Genomic DNA, 19,256 nt, shown 5'->3' on the forward strand with positions numbered 1-19,256 from the left:
GCTCCTAGTTGTAAATATTTTAAGCTGAGGAGAGTTAGATTTGAGATTTCAGGAGGGCCAACATGGCTAGGGTTCTCATGGAAAAGTACTGAAAGGAGAGAGCTACAGAGAGATAGAGAGAGAGCTACCAAGAGAGAAAGAGAGAGACAGAGAGAGAGAGAGAGAAGAGGGGAGAGAGAGAGAGAAAGACAGAGAGAGAGAGATCGATCTAGACATCTGACAGAGTTCCCAGAGTTGGCTGACTACTCAAGGTTGGGAAAAGAATCACCCAAAAAGAGCAATCAGAACAATTTCCTGAGCACACACAGGGAAAGATGTTGTTGATATTCTCACCAGACAGATGGGGGTGGGGTAGGGTGCTCAGAAGGGTATTTGTTGCCTCATTAGTAAGGCAAAATTTGCTCTAGATGAAGACTGCTTTGGTTTCTCCTAACAAAGCTTAGAAAAAAATCCTTACAAAGATCAAACTATTTCAAAGTAACATAATTGTTTCTCAGAATAGAGATTAGGATTATTTTTAAATGCAAGAATAGCCAGTTCCCAATAAATTAAAATCCACAACTCCATTTTGCCACTCATTGTGTTGCATCCCCCTTGCTTCTAAAGTATTGCATTCTAACCTTTATTATTTCAGGATTGCAAAATCTCTACTGCTAGACCAAACTGTACAGCATCTCCAACAATTATCTATGTCTTAGAAAAAACAGCCACCAATACATTTCTCACTGTTTCTGGCACTTCTTTCACAAACACATTCCTCATTGCTTCAGTAAACACAGAGTTGTCTCATAAGCCCATCTCTGAAAAACAGTAGAGTAGTGGTTTTTGTTTGTTTGTTTGTTTTAAATTTTGCCTTATCTTACAATGTTGGCCCTAGCACTTTAACTTTTTTGACCATCTTGCTGTTTCCTTTCCTTTTGTATTGAGATGGAGTCTTGCTCTGTCGCCCAGGTTGGAGTGCAGTGGCGTGGTCTCAGCTCACTGCAACCTCTGCCTACCAGGTTCAAGCAATTCTCCTGCCTCAGACTCCCGAATAGCTAGGACTATAGGAGCATGCCACAACGCCTGGCTAACTTTTGTATTTTTAGTAAAGTCAGGTTCATATTGGTCAGGCTGGTCTGGAACCCCTGACCTCAGGTGATCCACCTGCCTCGGCCTCCCACAGTGGCGTGAGCCACTACGTTCAGCCGTGCCTTTCTACTGTCTCAGCTTTTCTGACATTTCTGGTTTTCTTAGTGTAGATAATTTCTTTTTCCGGGCTTCCAAAAGCCATGCTAGCAGTGTGTTAGCACCCATCTTCCAGGGTTCTTGCCAAATTATTAATTCCTGTGTCACTGGACAGTGCCCCCTTATTGATAAAAGCTCCCTTACCCAAGTTTATGTGCTATACTCCTGATCTAGTGCCCTAGGGATCTTGTCCTGCACACGCTCCTCTGGTTCTTGCTGAATCTTGGTCCCTGGGCCCTGCAGCTCCTCCTGTGTTTCTCTTCTCTTAGCAAGCCCAGTGCATCCTTGGCTGGGTTATGCTGTAATTTGACCCTATTTATTAGTCTTGTGGCCAGAAATGGAGGTGGGGTAGAATCTGAGAAGGGCATGTGTTCTTTTTCAAGGCCTTGCAGCATCTTCAAGTAAGGGCAGAATACCAAGCTTTATGGGAGGAGAGTGAACCACTTGTGCAGAGCTACAGCGTTGAGTAGGATCTGAGGGTTCAAGACTCTTGAGTATCTCAACCCACATGTCCCCATTCTGAGTCTTGGGGTCTCACTTTGGTGGCATAACAGCTGGGGTAGAGAATTCAACTTCTTTTCTCTGGACCTCTGGTTTTCTTATACATTTAGAGTGGAGTCTGATCTTAAGCTACTTCTGCTATCTGGCTGTAGTAGATGAGAATCTCTTTATATGCCTCCAAGGAGGCCCTTGGTCTTTTATACTTTGCCTTAAATTTGAGATTAATACCCCTCAGTGCCATTAAATTCCTGCAATGCATCAGTGGTAGCCAGCAACAGCTATCTGATTCTATAGTTCTTATAACTACTTTTTCCCCTAAGCCTTTCAAATATCTAAGATACTGAACCTCCTAGTGTTTTCTGACACACTGAAGTCTTCTCTCAATTTACCACAGGTAAAAGTTTTATTAATTTCACCACTATCGCATGCCAGGAATGATCAGTCTTACAGTTATCACCAGCAAAGGGATGCTTATTATCAGCTCTCCAAAATTCCATTCTATAATTTGCTGCCTGGGACCATATGTAGTACCAGCTATCTGAAGTTGGATTCCCCGGGAAATTACCTGAGTTGGAGATGGGAGGATATTGGGCAACACTTTTGGATGCAACAGTTAGAATGGAGGCAGGGAAGCAGAATTGGGCTGAGGGAGGAGTTGACCTCTATTACAGTTGCAGCAAACTTCAGTGGAATCCTTAGGATACTTTGCAACTAGGATGGTCTTTCAGCATTGTTCAAAATTGAGGCAAGAGGGCCCAGCCTCTGTATCTCTAAAGTGATCAGCAGATGGAGGCTGTTTCTTGGAAATAAGTTGCCAGTCAGATTTCTGCAGGTAATTCATTGAGAGGGACTCAGCTGTGAGCCATTCAGAACACCAGCTGTGAGAATAAAGACTTCGGTCTTATCTGATCAGGGCAATACAGGAACCCCTATAAAATGATACATACTAATGCAGTTTATGGTCAATTGTACCCCCTATTAGTTTCATTTCCCATAAAGAACAAATCAAATGTGGAATTACTGAGTAATATGCCTTGAAAGAAACTTAACATCACATCAAGTTCAATACTCTTGGTTTTTAGGTAAAAACCCAGAGGTGCCATTAAGTTCTTTGCTCAGGGGCACAGTGTATGCTGATGTTGGGTCTGGAAGTCAGGTTTTCTGCCTGCAGCCTGGTGCTCTTTCACTTTTAGATTCTTTTTTTTATTATTATTATACTTTAAGTTTTAGGGTACATGTGCACATTGTGCAGGTTAGTTACATATGTATACATGTGCCATGCTGGTGGGCTGCACCCACTAACTCGTCATCTAGCATTAGGTATATCTCCCGATGCTATCCCTCCCCCCTCCCCCGCCCACAACAGTCCCCAGAGTGTGATATTCCCCTTCCTGTGTCCATGTGATCTCATTGTTCAATTCCCACCTATGAGTGAGAATATGCGGTGTTTGGTTTTTTGTTCTTGCGATAGTTTACTGAGAATGATGATTTCCAATTTCATCCATGTCCCTACAAAGGACATGAACTCATCATTTTTTATGGCTGCATAGTATTCCATGGTGTATATGTGCCACATTTTCTTAATCCAGTCTCTCATTGTTGGACACAACAGGTGCTGGAGAGGATGTGGAGAAATAGGAACACTTTTACGCTGTTGGTGGGACTGTAAACTAGTTCAACCATTGTGGAAGTCAGTGTGGCGATTCCTCAGGGATCTAGAACTGGAAATACCATTTGACCCAGCCATCCCATTACTGGGTATATACCCAAAGGACTATAAATCATGCTGCTATAAAGACACTTTTGGATTCTTTTAAGTGCTAGAGAACTATAATATAAACTGCTTTACACGTTTGAAACTATTAAAATGTAGTCCCCACTGTAACATGCTATGGTGTCAACCTCTTCTCTATAGTTTACCCCCAAGGACTATTTATTCTTTCTCCCTCATTTTCTAGAGTCATTTTACTTTTTGTAGGACCAAGATATTAAATATTAAATAGATTGAGGTTTTAAGCTCCAGCAGGAGATTGATGTTTATATATATTGTACTTTTTTGCTGAAAATTTTTGGCGCAAAGTTGCTTTTTTATTGCCTGAATTTAAAAACAAAAAGTAACTAGATAAAAGTGAAGGATCAACAGCAAATTGCACAGGTTCTCTTCCTTTGACGGTGATTCTTTCTGGGACTGTCACAAGGTTGGACATTAGGCAAATTCCAGTTAAAGCATGCTCCTCCCAGAGAGTACACTTGTTTCACCTAAGAGGCTGTTTTAAATCTACCTGCTATCAACAGAGGGGATTTTTTTCATGAGCTGGGAAAGGCTTCAGATCCTTGACCTCACTGCCTGTTATTTCTCTTATTAGTTTAGTCTTTCCTGAAAGAAAGAACTCCCTCTGAAATGCAATTTCTGGTTTTTGGCTGAAATGGTTCCAATTTAACAGTTTTCAATTTGACAGTTCAGTTCAGTAATCCTTTACTAAGCATTTATAATGTATGAGGTATTGGACTACATCTAGCCAAAGATTTAAAGAAATAATTACACTATCAAGTAATGTGTGTTACAAAGGTGTGCACAGGAGCTGTAGGTTCACAGAGGAAGTTCAGGAATAACTTTTCTGTAACTGAGGCATTAGACAAAAAGCCGTACTATTGCCCTCAGAAGGCTGCAGTTAACACATGCATGGAGTGGTCATCTAGTTCCCCTAATTAGCATACTAAGCAGGAATGATTTACAAGGCTAGCTAGCAAATACTTTGGACCATGAAGTAGAGGAATAGAGAAGGTGAATTTCTGTGCAATGCTGTGGGAATCAGGGAGCAGAGGGTTGAGTAAAGCAGGTACATGGCAGAGATAAGCTTTTGTTGGTGAGGAGAAACAAATTGAATAAATAAATACGACCATCTGCTTTAGATGGCAATCCATCTGAGCTGCGGGAATAGTCTAAAAGTGAGGAGAGAGTCCTGGAATGAAGGATAAACTTGCCCATGTTGCTTTTTTTTTATCTGAGGCAAGCCCTGCTTAGTTTAATTTGACAATTTCCTGGCACGTATGTTATGTAACATTACCTAAATCACCTTTGGAGTTTGGAGAAAATGTTAATGTCTTGTTAAAATTATAATTATTGTGTGTTTAGCATGCCTTTCTATAGAGACTGCTTTTAATTAGGATGGTGTTCCAGTTTGTCAAACAGACATTTAAAATATCCTGCTATTACAATATTTACATTTCTGTTTGAAATGGTATCAAATGTCAACTTCATTTCCCAGGAAATCAGAAAATTTAAAATTTTTATTTTAAAATGGAATAGTATTTTAGAACACGTTATCCATCGTAAACTGTAGATGGAGTTCTGTTTGCTTTTGTCAGAGTAGGTAATTTCCTTTCTTTGGGGGAATGTAGGGGTGAGGAAAAGGGAGAAAGAGAGAGAGGCAGGAGATAGCTCTGTGTCTCTCACAATGTAATTTCCTTTCTTTGGGGGAATGTGGGGGTGAGAAAAAGGGAGAAGGAGATAGAGGAAGGAAATAGCTCTGAGTCTCTCACCATGTATCTGCTCCTTGCTTTCCACACTCAGCTTCATTATTTTTTACCTTTTCCTCATTTTTTTTAAATTTTGAAAAATTCTAAAGAGCACCTGAATACCTTCTCCTAGACTTTCAAATTCTTGACATTTTGAATGTTTGCTTTATGCACATGCACAGCTTCTGTGCTCTCTCTCTTTCTTGCTCTCTCTCTGTCTTAGTTTTCTTTGAGTATCATTATGGACTCACAGATTTTAAAAAATATTCAGTGTGTTATCCATTACTATCATAGCAAGTTTTTATGCTTCAAAGAATTACAAACAATATGCATGTATACACTTACATAAACACACAGGTACATTTTTCTAGATCATTTGGATATTGAACATATCATGATACTTCACTTACTTCAGGCAACTCCTAAATATCAGGGCATTCTCTTATCTAACTGCGATATAACTGTAATATCATGATTACAAGTATAAAAATTAGTGTGAATTAAATATTTAATACCTAGTCCATATTTAAATTAACCCAATTGCTCCCCCAAATGCTTTTTATTTGTGTGTGTGTGGGGAGGTCGGGGAGACACAAAGGCCCAGGATTAAATTGAAGTTCACAGATGGCATTTGTCTATATTGTCTTTTTAGTTTTATCTTTCATCAATCCCCTTGACTTTTTTTCTCCCATCAGACATTTTTTAAGAACCTAGGGGAGTTTCCTTACAGAAAGTTTCATAGTTTGGATTTGTCTGGTTGTTACCTCATGAATAGGTTTAGATTAAACATTTTTCAAGGGCCAGGCGTGGTGGCTCACACCTATAATCCCAGCACTTTGGGAGGCCAACGTGGGCGGATCACGAGGTCAGGAGATTGAGACCATCCTGGCTAACATGGTGAAACCCTGTCTCTACTAAAAAAAAAACAAAACAAGCAAAAAAAAAAAAATTTAGCCAGACGTGGTGGCACGCATCTGTAGTCCCAGCTACTTGGGAGGCTGAGTCAGGAGAATCGCTTGAACCCAGGAAGTGGAGGTTGCAGTAAGCCAAGATCGTGCCACTGGACTCCAGCCTGAGTGACAGATTGAGGCTCCATCTCAAAAAAAAAAAAAAAAAAACAAATCATTTTTGGCAAATATGCTTCATAGCAGTATAAATGCTATACATATATATACCTATATATAATCTCAAAATATATATAGGTATATATAGCATTATATATATTTTGCTACTTCATACCAGAAGCACCTAATCTCAGGCTGTACTAAATGATAAATAATACTAAATCTATTGCTTAGTTAAGGTGGTGACCAACATATTTGCTAATTTGAAACTAAATTATCTCTGAGCTGATACTCTATCACTGTATGAATTTCCTGCTCCTCCAAACCATTTTACTTAATAATTTTAGCATTCATTAGTCATTCTTCCATGGATCTATTATTAGACTGGGATTTTCAAAATGCTTTCTGTCATTCCTACAGTTGTTTATAGAAGAATTTCAGTTAATAATAGCTTTTCTCCTTTCTTTGTCCTTCTGTTTCTTTCAGTATAATCAAAGACTCAGATTTTTAAAAAAGTAAATGTTTTATCCATTACTGTCATAGTTATTTTTGGTGCTTCAAAAAGTTACAAATTTGGCCATTAGGGTCCTTGTTAAACTGACTCTTATGTCATTTTGTTGTTATCCCACTTGTCTTTGAAAATATTCTTGAGTCTGGTACAAGATGTTTTAGAATATTCTTACACTTTTTCTGCTTAGACCTGGAGTCAGGCATTTCTTTAGGAATTCCTCATTTCTGTTGGGGAATATATATAGAACACGAAGTCTGGGTACTAGGTCTGCTTATTGCTATAAAGCTATTATTATTTCTAGGCCTTTCCAGTGTATAGAGCAAAAAAAAAAAACATATCTATGCTTTCAAGTCAAATCCAACTCCACCAGGTTAGAAAAGATTTATTATGATGCTAATGGGATCTGTTCAAGGTTTTATACCTAATTTTATATTTCTAATGTTCCTTTAAGAGAGCCTCCAAAATTGCATAGGCTTCAAATCCCATAAAAATGTATTTATCCAGTACTCCTGCGTTCCAGCATAGGATCTTCCTCATATTCTACAATTTCATGTTAGTAATCTGCCTTTTTTTTAAAGAGAAAACTCTGATTCCCAAAAAGAACAATATGGTAACTCACTTGCTTTATCCTATATACAGAATAGTTTCAGAACTATAATACTAATAGCAATACCTACAACAAAACAGCTGAGTAAACTTTAAGATTTTATTGCCATTCTACCCTTCAAATGTTTTCCCCAAAGAGTATGTTTAATTACTTGAATTAAATTTTACTTTGTGTGGTTGTGTTATCAATTTGATAACATATTAGATTCATTTGTATGTGTTTATATTTAATTTTATAGTGTTTTTTATTCTCTTAACTTAATTATTCTGATTATGTAAAGTATTGACATGACCCCAAACTCAAAATGTTAAAAATGGGAATATCTCACACATCTCCTTATTCCCTCCAATCTGTTCCCACCCATCTTTAGGCCACTGCTCAATGTCACATTATCCCTGACTACTCCTAAGGGGAAGAGCAACCGTATTGCCTTGTTTCTCTTTGTCATACTCAAATAACTTGCTTTCTTTTCCTTAATACTACTTCTCACTCCATGTTGTAATTATGTATATTTTATTATCTGTCTTCTTCACCTAGAATAGGAATTCCATGACAGTACTTTGTTTCATTCACTGCTCTATCCCAAGCACTTAGAATAGTTCCTTGCCTGCTAGGCACTCAAAACATGTTTGTTGTGTGAATTGCATGGATAACATTTTTATTTATACAGATGGGAACCACCCTATACAGACTGTTGCAAAGCTTACCTTTTTTACACAATACCTCCTGGTGATCATTCCATGTATGTTGCTCCTTAATTTTTAAATGGCTGTATAATATTCCATGGTAGGGCCATACATTATTTAACCTGTCCTCTATTGAATGGTATCTAGGTTATTTTCAGTCTTTTGCTACTACAGACAATGCTATAATCAATGTCCTTTTACATATAGTTATGTTCATTTTTATATTTAATATATTTCAAATATTAATATTCAACAAAAATTGGTGTTTAATGAAGAAGAAAAAATTAGATCTATTTTAAAGAATAAACATGATTTCAAAGGCATTGCCTATGTATGAGAACTTTTTTTAGATTAAGCCATTTAGTTATAAAAGTACATATGGGTTTCATGCATTTTAAATCATAGTGCATATGGGTGCAAATGCTTGTGAAGAATAGAATTAAATGATTTCTATGGTCCTATATTAGTCAAATAATTTTATAGTACTCTATGTTCTTTTGGCTGTTAGAGAATACACTCGGCTTGTTTCAATATTCTTTTCACTTGTCTTTTAAACTATTAATGTAGAAAATGATAGAAGTTGTTTGAAATGGAGCATTTATATCTACATTTAGTATTATGTATTTTTAATTTACCCAGATGTGTATGGCAACATTAAAATATTATTATAAATTTTACTTTTGGAAACAGTGGAATAGAAAATATTCAATTGTCAATTCTCTATTGAAGGCAACATTCTTCACTCAATTAATTTAATTTAGATATGAAAATACCTTTCTGTGAATAATTAAAAAGGACTAAATTATGGTATTAATGGAGTTAAAAGTTTTTGGATTCTGAATATTTTGAAAGACATCTGTGGAAACTTTTGCTCCTGGAATATTTGTATAGTATTGTTGGAAATTTTGCTAAATGATTCCTAAGATTTCACCAAGTCCTATACATTTAGGATTGTCATTTTAGATTTATTTTACAGGTTACCATAATTTGGAGGCTATATTGTTTTTTAAAAACGGCCTTTTTGTGGTATAATTTATGTCATAAAAGCCATCAATTTAAATATACTTTGGAGGTTATGTAGTTTTAAAACCTTATCTTACAGTTTTCAGGTAAAAAAGTATTTGATTACACTATTATACTAATTTCTGGTTTCATTGTTACATACTTGTAAAATATTGTATCAATATATAACTATAGCCAATATGTATTTTCATAAACTACTAATGGACATAACTTTATCAAGAAAAAGAATGCCTATTTTGTAATGCATCTGTTTCCTCTTGTGAAATCTGAATTCTAGTCAGCAATATGGCAATGTCTCCAGAATTAATGTTTTCAGCAGTTTTCCCTCCCTCCCCCTAGAATTTGAGATGATGTTTATTTTTAACACTTATTTTTTCTTGTTTAGTTTAATGAAATTTCCTTTGTTTTTAATATTATTCTACCTCAAACAATTTATAATTGCATATTCCTTTTCTCTTTAATTCATAACAGTTGACACTTCATGTTTGCAATACAAAAAGATTGAATAAATAAATACATTTTTAACGTTTGTTACTATGGAATTTTGTAAATGTACCTACACATGTTGTATTGCTTTAAAACATATTCTCTTTCTGTTGTAAAATTTAGACTGCTTTCTTATATTCTAACTGGAATTTAACCAAATCTACAGCTGCTGTGTTTGTTTCAGAAAACACTTTATATATTGGGAAAGAAACTCTATTCTGTGAGTTTCAATTGACTGTAAATTTTGTCTTTAAGCTTTTTTAAAAACACCATTTTTAAGTATTTGAATACTCAGGATGATTCGTGTCTCCTTTGTATATATTGACTACTCAGAAATTATTTTTTTCTTTCATCTCCAAAGAAGAATTCACCAAGTTAATGAGGTGATGAAAGATCACTGTAGACATTAGATATAACACAGACAATGGCATGAAAATTGGTTGCAGTGTTCAGGAAACCACAGCTACTGTATTTGGGGAGGCTCAAGTGCAGGGGTGTGTGTGGTGGGGTGTAAATAGGCAGAAGAAGAGAATTTTTTGATAATAGATGGGACACTGTTGATAATTTTAATCAGGGAAGACATAATAATGGGTAAGTGATTTGGAAGAGAATGAGGTCAAAGTAAGGATCTCAACAGAACAACTGTTGGTTTTATTTTAAGTAAATATTAATAAGAAATGAAAGGACTGGCCTAAGATAGTGATCATTGATACTGATTGGTACAAGAAACATTGGTTCAAGGGATAATGGGTATAAGAGATAGCAATGAGAAAGTGACAGATAAATGTCTCTAAACTTCCCCAGAAGCATTCTGAAAAATATAAATAACTTAGGACAACATCCAGCAATATAATAAACTAAGAGATATGCATAGGAAACTTTCCTGCTACAAACACGTGAAAACAGTGGATATAATACAGCAATTGAAAATATGTAACTGAGCTTCAAGAAAAGAAGGAAGACATTAAAAAGACATTATGGGAGACCATTGTTTTAGACAGATCTCCTGTACTAGGCCCCAACAGACCAGACCTAACCAAAATGAAGTCACTCATGCTAAATATCACATATCAAACTGAAACTTTAAGGAAGCAGATGGATCCCCAAACAGACCTGTTTTCCTGAAAACAGGAGGTTGCAGTCTACTTGAATCAGCAAAATAAGGATGTATATGCTTTAATTGTTACAAAAAAGTAAGCTGAAGTAACTTGAGGTTAACCAAATGGCTTTTTTCCTATTCTGTTTCCTTGTTCCCACCTTGCAAAACCCACTACTTTGCTATTGCCTAGAAAAAAGTTCTCATTCTATTTTATAGAATGGAGGCTTCTCTGATTTCTCAATCACAAATAAAAGCCAGTTAGATCTATAACCAACTTTGTTGTAATTTTGTCTTCTGACACCTGTGAGTGGTTGCTGTGTTACTCAAAGAAAGGTGGGCCCTTAAACTTTTTGTTCAACTTCACAATATATATTCATATTCTTTAATGCTAGTATGAAGCCATTGTCCCTAGGCAATATTCAACTTATGTCAAGGGGACATCACTTATGTCAAGGGGACATGTGTCAAGGAGAACTGAAGGCCTGATGATCAACGTGGCTTGGTCAAATTGGGGAGAGTTGAAAAATTCTCATGAAAGAAATGCTACAGAGATGGACTAAGACTGAAGTGCATAACAAAGGGTACAGACAGCTGGTTGCCTGTGTTTCACTGCAGAACTTACCTTGGTTTTCAGAGAATTCATAAATTGGTGAAATTGTGTGTGTGTGTGTGTATGTGAATATCCTCTTTGGTGCTCTGCAGGCTACTGTTTACCTAAGCAAAAGAAACAAACTTTACTGTTTACAAATCATCTAGTTTGTCTGTTCACAAACTGTCTTTTTTACTTCTCTCCATTTTTGTCTTTGATGAATGGATTTATTCTATTTAGTGGTTTTACTTCTAAATAGCCTGCTAATAATTAATAATAGGTCTTAAAATTATTCTTTGACATTTTCTAAATTTGTTTTAAATTCATGATACTCTATTATGTCTGAAAGCCAGTTGTGCTAGGGAAAATAGGCTTGAAAGAAAAACCAAAGATGCTGCAATAACAATAATCACCTTCCTTCCTTTAAGGACCTTTTTTGAGAATTAATGACTAGCTGGGTTAATGACCTTAAAATTTTAGGACCATCAGTTTTCCCATTTATGCATTAATCCTTCCAAAATGCCGAAGACTAAAATAATTAGTGTTCAAATAAAAGCAGAAATAGTGGGATCCAATAGGATGTTGGCAAGATGTCAGAGATAGTGTTTAGAGTGAAAATTATGAGAAAATGCTGAATGTATGTGATAAATTGGTTGGCATATAAAAAGAACTGAAAGCAAGTAATTACTGGAGTAAAAAGAGGAGGGGAACAGAAAATAGCAGAGATTATCCAAAGAAATAATGAATGGGTGGTTCAGTGTCATTCAGAGTGGGTAAAAAAAATGCTCACTTAAAATAATATTGGGAAATAGCATAAATTTATTCCTGGTGGAAATTTCAGCAAAGTTTCAATACTGCAAAGCTTTTTAACACCATTTGGAATTCAATGCAGGGCTTCGAAATACAATGTTACCCCTGATTAAATGGACCTATAAATTAGAGAGCAATAAAGGATAAAATTCTGGAGAATTCTGTAACTGTGAATCTTGACTGCTATTAGAGCCTCATTTGCAATTGCATGATGGTAAATTAACATGAACAGTTTTTGTATGTATGATAGACCCAAAGGAAAGTTGATACATATACTGTTGAAAATTCAGACAATTTAGAGGAAATACAGAATAAACTATCCTCTCATTCCCTCAAATCCAATCCATTACAACACATCAAACTGAAAGAAACATGCATGCAACTTCTTCTCAGGAAAACATACTGCATAATGTAGAGTAAAACTGCATTAGCCAGGAGTCAACAATTTGTGAAATTTGAAAAAAAGTCTTTAGTTGATTTACTTATGCTGGACTTGTCATTAGGAATATGAAAATAATCTAGTAATCTGTAGAAATTGTCATATTTTGAAGAAGACTATTGGAAAACTGCCTAGACCTCTATTTGATTTGGTGTATAAGAAAATTGGGCATACAGTATAAAGGGAGCCTGGAGTGCAATTACGTGTATAGATTGAATATTGTCACAGAATTGTACTGAATCACTCCTTAGCACTCAAGCAAATGATTACCAGCAGACAACGATGCATTTGAAATTCACTCCATGTTATTCTGGAACACAGTTCTGAGGGAGGCCATAAATCTTGTGTGTATGTCTAATATAAGAATGGGTCTTTCATTTTTATTTTTTGGCATCACCTTAGTCATTCTTAAGTTACCAAATCATAAAATCAGAGTTGGAAGGACATCTACGGAAGTCAACTAAATCACTTCTCTGCATCAAGTTACCTACGTTTTGTGTAAACATTTCCAGGAACAAAACATTTTATGACTCCCCTAAGGAGATTGTTAAATCATTCCAATGTTTATAAGCCCTAACAGCCAGGAGTTCTGTTTCCATATAGGCATCGTATTTGCCCTCATTGTTCTCTTCCTTGCTTTCTTCTCTCCCACTCCATCCAGATTCTTATTTTTTGCATCTATATTTCTTTATTCAAGTAAATATGTTTTCTTTCTTTCTCCACCCCTATTGAATGTTTTTTCCTAATGTCTCAGTCTTGCATTTGTTTTTCTTGTGTTTCTTCTCAGTGTTCCCAGATCTTTGATATTTAGTCCTGAATCCTCAATAAGTTTATTTTATTTTGGATTGAAAGCAAAGAAACCAAAATGTTATAAATCAAGTGGAGAGAAAAATGAGGTATTGGGAAGTGTGACTATCTAAAGGGCTGTTTTCACCAACTGCAAGATTTTAAGACATTCTAGGAGGCTTAGGAGAACCTCAGTGGGGATGGCTGCCTCTTTTAGGTTTACTAACCTAGGCAAAATTGTTGGAGATACTTGCTGGCCAACATCTTATTAGCATATATAAAGCTCTCTGTTGGAATTTTTACAGAATCAGTTAGAGTTTAGAATACTTTTTTTAAAACATGGTTGAGGGATTCGTTTAATGAATTGAATTTTAGGGTGTTTTTGTTCTTGTAGGGATTGCCTGTAAAATAATAGCAGGTGGCATGTTAAGTCCATGGGAGACTTTGCACTTAAAGAGACATTCATTTAGGTAGATGTTTTCTATATAGAAGGTTACCACATCAGTTTGGAGGTTGTAGCACACCTCAAATCCTAATTTTATAAGTTCCATAGAATTTTCTGAAGAATAATCTTTATTCAAAAAATCTAGAATCACTGTTTAAGTCAATTTAGAAACAAATCCAGTGATTCTTCTTTTGTGCCCTAAATTCTTGATTTTATTTATGTTGATGATACTTCAGAGTCCTGCTGAGATTTCACCATCAAGGCAGTCCCTTGATTTGCTTAGCATAAGTGGATATTTTGGTGCTAAGTGAGGAACACAATTATTCTCAAAGTCTCAGCTCCTGATAGCTATAGGATTATATTCTAAAAAGGGATTATACGTATTCATCAATTTTGTGGATAAAAATAAAAGCAGTATTTTTAATTTAGCATAGTTTTTGTTAATATAACTTACATAGACTATTTGTGCTTATGGAATTATTCATTGCAGGATGCATTCAGGAAAATATCAGTGTCTGTCAGACAAGAATTTTATGATAGAACCACTGCAGAAAGACAGATTACTGTTTTAGATGACCCAAGAGTGAGAGGATTGAAAGTTTGAAATCAGAATTCAATCACACTGGACAAAGGTTTTAGGAAGTATGCAAATAAGAGGCTAATTAAAAAATTCTTTATAGCTAAAGAAATAAATGTACTATTTAATTGGAGTGTGATGAGGTTAGCTATGATGGATATCAGAATAAAAGCCACCCCCTTTTTTTCTAAAAGTGTGCAATGGGTGTGTGTATATGTGCATGCTCTATCCTACAAAATGAGGAGTTATGATGAATATGAAATAAGATAATGAGTGCTATAGTTACACACATGCTTAAAAGAACAATCTTTTTTATGCTGTCAACCCATAAAGTCTAAGTTGAAAATGAAAGCTGTAACCTATTGTTCCCGCCTTGGTCCTTACAAGTCTACCTTCTACATTAGGAGTTGGAATTTTTTTTCTGTAAAGATCCAGACAGTAAATATTTTAGGCCTTGTGGGCCATGTGGTCTCCATTGTAACTACTCCTCTGCTGTTACAGTACAAAAACAGCTACAGACAACACAGAAATGACTGCTACAATGTTCCAACAAGATTTTATTTTCGAAAACAAGTGGCAGGTGGGATTTTGCCCAGGGACAGTAGTTTTCTGACCCCTGTCCTAGGTTTTTGATTTCTGTTCTTTAGATAGCTCTGTCTTTTTTACAGACACCTAGATTATTTCAAATTCTGCTTTAAGGATATTTTTAGAGGAAATTTTCAGTCCTTTTCAATCTATGTCCAGCCCAGAAGAGCCTTATTGCAGTAAGTTTTCCTTCAATGCCAGATAGTATCTCACTGGGAGAATGAGGTACTACTTTTTTTCCTTAAGTGCTAGAATTACTCCCAGAGAAGGCATGCCAAGAGTGGCAGAAAGAGGAGTGGCAAAAGATTCAGGAAACTTGAGAACCACAGGCCTTGGTTTCCTCCATGGTAAAGGAAGATATTGGGACTAGACGTTCTCCAAATTCTCTAACAGCTCTAGGATTTTATAATGTTAAATTAAGATTTGCTGCAAAGCTGATTCTGTACGCAGTCTTGGATCACTGTGTTTCACTTTTGAGCCACTTTCCTCAGACTGAACAAACAGTAGACATTGGTAACTTTTGAAGTGGAACACATTTCTTGTTTCTACCTCAGGAATTGATAAGAATGATCACATTTGTTGGCAGGTTTTAACACAATTTTTGAGTTCATCATATATGTTTTACTTACCTGCATGAGACTGACATCTCCCTTGAGGATACCTGTAGGTGGACTCAGAAGTGTTTTTCTTTTATTTATTTATTTTATTATTATTATTATTATTACTATTATTATTTTTTTTTTGAGACCGCATCTTGCTCTGTCACCTAGGCTGGAGTGCAGTGGCACCATCTCGGCTTACTGCAACCTCTGCCTCCTGGGTTCCAGTGATTCTCCTGCCTCAGCCTCCCAGGTAGCTGGAATTACAGGTGCTGGCCACCATGCCCAGCTAATATTTGTATTTTTCAGTAGAGACGGGGATTTGCCATGTTGGCCAGGCTGGTCTTGAATTCCTGACCTCAGGTGATCTGCCCGTCTTGGCCTCCCAAAGTGCTGGGATTACAGGCATGAGCCACCATGCCCAGTCTGCATTTTTCTTTTTAAAATGTGTAGCTATAATGCATATTTTTAAAAAGTTGGCTTACACTTTATAATGCGATATATTTTATCATTTCTAAGGAGCACATTTATTTTTACATTTTAACATGTGAAAAATCAGAGTGTGTCATACAATTGCTGTGATTTAGGTAGATATTGTGACGTAGTTCTTATTGCCTATACATAGACATAGAAACTGTGTGTGTGTATTTATAAATTTTCTGCAGCTTGTAAGAGAATCCAAGAGACAATAGTGAAGCACAATTCTTACAAATGCCATTTCACTAAGGCTCTTGATAGCTCAGAGAATAATTTTATATAGAGAATTATGGATCTCAGTTACTCCGATTTATCAGTAATTTGGATTCTGAACATGAGAAAATTTTAGAAATACTCAACCAATTTATTTTGTTCTTATTTCTTTTTACATACATGCTTGTGAGTGATGTATGAAAAAATATATGTTTAAATAATTTCAAATGAGCTTTTATAGTAATATAAAGTTAAACTGCAAGTGATACAAAGTATTATGACATAACTTAATTGGCATTATTTTGTCACTCAGTCATACATAAAATAATAGTGTGTTTTTATAATTGTTGGCATGTTAGATTTATAAACACAATGTTATTGAGTATAGTGGGAAATGTTTGACAAGAATTAGCAAAAGAAATACAAATTAAAAAAAGAAATAAGTAAATTACAGCAGAAAACATATTTTATTTTTTACTTCAGCACTGAGAGAGGTAAAAGATGATAAAAATAAATTGAAATCTTTATGTATGTCTGAGTTGCAAAAAATTATAACAACTCTGGAAAAATGAATTTTCCTCTGCTCTCACACCATAGCAATCAACAGAGAAAACTTCTGTGACCATATATATGAGGCTTTTTCTGACCAACAAGAAAGAAATCAATTCTGTAGCAGATACTAGGTGGGTATTCTCTAATTCAATTCAATTCTGAAACTTCTACCTGAAGATAGTGTGTGATCCCCAAAGTTAAGCATTCATCCCCAAGACTGCCCCCTCAGTTCAGATGCCAATTAGAAGGTCCAGGTTGTTTTGCCTGTGCTTCTAACCAGCTGGCTATAAACTCAATTTTCAATGACCGGGTGTGACTAATTTGTTAGAGCAGCTCCCAGAACTCAGGGAAATGCTTTTGTTTACTGGTTTACTATAAAGGATATTACTAAAGATACAAATGAAGAGATGTGTAAAAGTAAGTAAATCAACATTAAAGCTGTTGGAACTTTAAATTATTTTGAGTCTTAAAAGAATGTGATCAGGGGAACTCAGTCACATGACAGGCAGCTATGACCTACACAGCTGTATCTTTTTTTTTTGAGATGGAGTCTCGCTCTGTTGCCCAGGCTGGTGTGCAGAGGTATGATCTCTGCTTACTGCAACCTCTGCCTCCCAGGTTCAAGCCTCCTACCTACCTGCCTCCCTACCTGAGCCTCCTGAGTAGCTGGGATTACAGGCACCCGACACCATGCCTGGTGGCTAATTTTTGTATTTTTTTAGAAGAGATGGGGTTTTGCCATGTTGGCCAGGTTGGTCTTGAACTCCTGACCTCAGGTGATCCACCTGCCTCGGCCTCCCAAAGTGCTGGGATTACAGATGTGAGCCACTGCGGCCAGCAGCAGCTGTAACTTTTGTCCCCCTGAGTATAGATTAGCCTTTTCTTTACCTACATTGTTTTGTAAAATGTGGTAAAAGACTAAAAAACCCCAGACAATATCCTTTTTCTCTTCAGTGTTGATCCTTATTATAGATTAACTTCCCTCTTCCCTTACAAAAAGACCTTATGACTTTCACATTGTTTAAGATGGAATGTTAAATATACTCTTTTAAATTGGAAAAGGAAAACAGCTGTAACTAATCAAATTGCTGTAACTATAAATCACGCTTGTATGAAAAATGTAGTATAGTAATCTGGATAAATTTCTTTGTTTTCTGCCTATATAAGCAAGATCTTAACTTTGCAACTTTGGAGCACTGACCCCATTCCTTTGGAGTATTTGCTACCTGAATGGCTATTCTCAGATTTGCACTTGAATAAATTCTTCTAAGCTGGATTCTGATCCTTTTAATTATTTCAGGTTGACAGATGCATAGGGTGAGGGACAGGAAGTGGCATAGAGCTTCCATGCTCTTCCCAGGGGTGCTACTCTTCAGGAAACTTCATGTGTTTGGCTATCCAGAAGCTCTCCCAACCCTGTCTTCTTTGGGTTTTTATGAAGGATTTATCACAAAGGCATGACTGATCAAACCACTGACCATTGGTGATCAATTTAACCCTCAGTCTCTCGCTTCAACCTAGATTTTGTGGGGTGGGGCTAAAAGTTCCAACCCACTAATTATACCTTGGATTTTTTCAGGGACAAGCCTCTATCCTGAAGCTACCTAGAGGCTGCCGGCCACCATTTACACACATTAACATACATAAAAATATCACTGGAGATTCTAAGAATTTTAGGAATTGTATGTCAGAAAAATGGGGTCAAAGACCAAATATGTATTCTACAATATCACAGAATGCCTCTATCAATGAGAGACAAATAAACTAAGATTGCCAGAATTATGCAATGAAGCCTCCTGAAGAACATGCACCTTGCCTGTGTTTGCATCAATGTCCTGAGTGTACAGACCAATGCCTGGCACAGAGCTGGCTGCCCATTATTTTTTCTTGAATGTGAATGAGGATAAGAGGACCTCTTGAGCAAAATTGGTACACAGGAGATGATAAATCTATGCAGCCCTTCATGATGATATGAAGAGTTGGGGAAAGAGCCCTGGTCACAAATTAAGTCTTCTTTTGGCTCTGAAGGATTAAGAAGGTTTATAAAAAAGTTACTCTTACCCTTGAGCTCTGAATTCACATTTGACAAAGAAACATGAGTCAACAGCACTGATATTCAGAATTGTATGCGTTGGTACTGAAACTGTGGCCTTGATAAAAGAAGTTATCTAACTTGAATTAAATGAGAACCAAATATGAGTTAGCATTGAACTTTTAAAAATAATTCATCAATTCAAATCTGAGCAAAACACTTTCTAATGGTATTCTATGATTAAGCAATCCTTTACACAGTCGCCTTAGAGAAGAATTAAAAAGCTTCGGGATATCAGTTTCGATATCAATTTTGATAGAAGCAGACGCTAACTGACAGCATTCTTATAGAACTTTTTCCATATGGTCTCCAGTATGTTTTGTTCCTGCAATTTTTAGAGTCTGGAGTACTTTGGGAAGCTTAGGTGTC

General features: G+C 36.1%; 1 long non-coding RNA gene across 1 annotated transcript; it reads left to right on the forward strand.

Moving 5' to 3' along the window:
- The first annotated feature begins 16,851 nt into the window (after positions 1-16,851).
- On the forward strand, positions 16,852-18,071 carry LOC124901053 (uncharacterized). The gene is made up of 2 exons (XR_007058913.1): positions 16,852-16,926; positions 17,963-18,071. It is a non-coding gene; the product is annotated as an uncharacterized LOC124901053 (long non-coding RNA).
- Positions 18,072-19,256: the final 1,185 nt, after the last annotated feature.

The sequence above is a fragment of the Homo sapiens genome, chromosome 5 (genome assembly GCF_000001405.40).
Source record: "Homo sapiens chromosome 5, GRCh38.p14 Primary Assembly".
In the NCBI taxonomy this organism is placed as follows: Eukaryota; Metazoa; Chordata; class Mammalia; order Primates; family Hominidae; genus Homo; species Homo sapiens.